Genomic DNA, 2,710 nt, shown 5'->3' with positions numbered 1-2,710 from the left:
GTGAAAAAAATAAAAAAGTTGAACAACTACATTTTGTGCCAAAAAGGAATAATAAAATATAAAAATCAACCAAATGCAACTATTTCGGCTTAAGTGAATTTCAATCAAAATAGTTTGTATGTATAGTCAGGGCTTCAATTTCTTAAACTAAAGAAATGTCAGTATGTAGGACTAGATATAAAATAAGCCAAATATTGGACCAGATGCAGTGGCTCACGCCTGTACTCCCAGCACTTTGGGAGGCCGAGGCAAGCAGATCACTTGGGTTCAGGAGTTCCAGATCAGCCTGGGCAACATGGCAAGACCCTGTCTCTACCAAAAAAGAAAGAAAATTAGATAAATATGACTCTTCTTTTTCCTTTACCTTACATAGAAAAAAAACTAAAAGCATTTGCAAAATATCTTAGACTCTCATCAAGCTAGATATTTCTTGCTTATATTGAGGAAAAAATCACACTCTGAGAATAGTGTTAATCAAGGGTCATAGGTAGCGCTAGACTAGAAATTTTGAACTGTAAAAAAGATATTAAAATGTGACTTTTAATTAGATCAGAAATGAACTCTAATACTCTTCACGTCTTCAGAAATGACACCTTTTATTCCTCCAGTAATTGAGGTGTCAAAGGGCAATTTGAGGCTACTCGAAAAGATTCAGAGTCTGGTTTTGTTAACTACTAAGCTAATTACTGGTACAAAATGAAAATTACTAGACACCACTGAATTCTTGACAGGTCAAAAAAATATTCTTAAGAAATCCTGGGGTTTAAACTGGTGATATTCAGGCTTTCAATATTTATTTTGTAGCTTTATTTTTTTTATTTCTTTGAGGCAGGATCTTGCTTTGTCACCTAGGCTGGAGTACAGTGATACAATCATAGCTCACTGCACCCTGCACCCATGAACTCCTGGGCTCAAGTGATCCCCCTGCCTCAGCCTTCTGAGTAGCTGGGACTATAGGTGCACACCACTACGGAGAGCTCATTTTTGTATTTTTTGCAGAGATAGAGTCTTGCTATGTTGCTCAGGCTCATTTATAGCTTTCTTTCTTCAGAAATAAAATTCACTCAAATTAGTAAGGGTTTGTTGCTGTTGTATATGTGTGTGTAGGCACATGGGGGAGTAAGTAGGCAGTTGAGAAATCTTTTGCAAAGTCGTCTGTTATATTAGTGACTATATATTGTGAGGCGGGATATGAATCACACTGGTTTTCAAAAAACTTTGAACTTACTATTTCTAGGGCACAGTACTTTCAAAGGAAAGAGCCACATGTTCAGAAACCATAATAACCTTCTCAGAGCACCTGTGCACCAGATATCAGTTGCTCCATCAACTATCCTCTGACAATAGCAGTAAAAACCATTTACCCACACTCAGTGGTCTATTCTAGTTTCTACCATCTAAATGATGGTCGGACTCCATCCGAAATATGAGTTTAGGCCATAGCCAGGTTGACTTGCAGAACACTGTTTTAAAATGGGATCAAGGGAGGGCAATAACAGATCTGCAAAGGAGAGAAAACCTAATCATTCAAAAGCAGTTCTGAGCATGAAGTAAGTAATATGTCCACTCAGAGGTATTGTTAATTTAGGATCAAAGTCTAAAACTGGAGTCCTGCGGACAAGCTGGAGAACAAATTTAGGCATAGGGCTGGTTGAGTGGAGCACCTGGAGCCAGAGAAATGCAGAGCAGCAAGGCCCAGCAGCCCTTCCTGAGGATGATACAGATAGTGAAGAGAGGGTGGAAGGAAGGAAGCAGAATGGGATGGGGGCGTGAACATGAAGTGAACAAGAGAAGTTGCTAAACATTTCCCTCAATACTTGGCCCTGTGGATCACTTGCATCTGAATCCTCTGGGAAGCATGTTTCTGGCCGGGTGCAGTGGCTCACACCTGTAATCCCAGCACTTTGGGAGGCCAAGGTGGGTGGATCACTTGAGGCCAGGAGTTCAAGACTAGCCTGGCTAACATGGCAAAATCCCATCTCTACAAAAAGTACAAAAATTAGCCAGGCATGGTGGCTCCTACCTGTAGACCCAGCTACTCAGGAGGCTGAGGTGGGAGGATCGCTTGAGCCCAGGAGGCAGAGGTTGCAGTGAGCCAAGATCACTTCACTGCACTTGAGCCTGGGTGACACAGTGAGACCCTGTCTCAAAAAAACAAAACAAAAAAAAAACTTCTGGAAAACATGTTTCAAAAACAGATTCTCAGGCCCCACCCCAGACCTCCTGAATTGAATCTTCACAAGTGAAGCCTAGGAATGCAGACTTTAAAAAAAAATGCATTCTAGGCAGCTTTTATTGCATTTTGTATTATTTACTTATTTATTGAGACAGTGTCTTGCTGTCACCCATGCCCATGCCATAGTGAGTGGTGCGATCATGGCCCACTGCACCCTTAAACTCCCAGGCACAAGCGATCCCCCAACCTCAGCCTCTCGAGTAGCTGGGACTACAGGTGCACACAACGACACCCAGTTAATTTTTTATATTTTGTAGAGACAGAATCTTGTTGCCCAGGCTGACCTCGAACTCCTGGGCTCAAGTAATCCTCCCACCTCAACCTCCCAAAGTGCTGAGATTATGGGCATAAACCACTGCACCCGGCTGGGATATAAACTTTATACACGGTCCCCAAGTATCTGAAGCACACTTATATTTGTGTGCTAAGCTCCTTACTGGTATTGTTTTGCTTAATCCTTCAACAGCTCTATAA

At 41.6% G+C, this 2,710-nt stretch overlaps 1 annotated feature.

Moving 5' to 3' along the window:
• Window positions 2,415-2,504: an enhancer, noted in NCBI's record as "active region_6727". NCBI's record gives its function as "activates an Ori minimal core promoter by ATAC-STARR-seq in GM12878 lymphoblastoid cells {active_cell/tissue: GM12878}" and the evidence as "EXISTENCE:reporter gene assay evidence [ECO:0000049][PMID:35858748]".

The sequence above is a fragment of the Homo sapiens genome, chromosome 12 (assembly GCF_000001405.40).
Source record: "Homo sapiens chromosome 12, GRCh38.p14 Primary Assembly".
NCBI lineage: Eukaryota > Metazoa > Chordata > Mammalia > Primates > Hominidae > Homo > Homo sapiens.
This window is presented reverse-complemented; position numbering and strand designations above follow the sequence as displayed.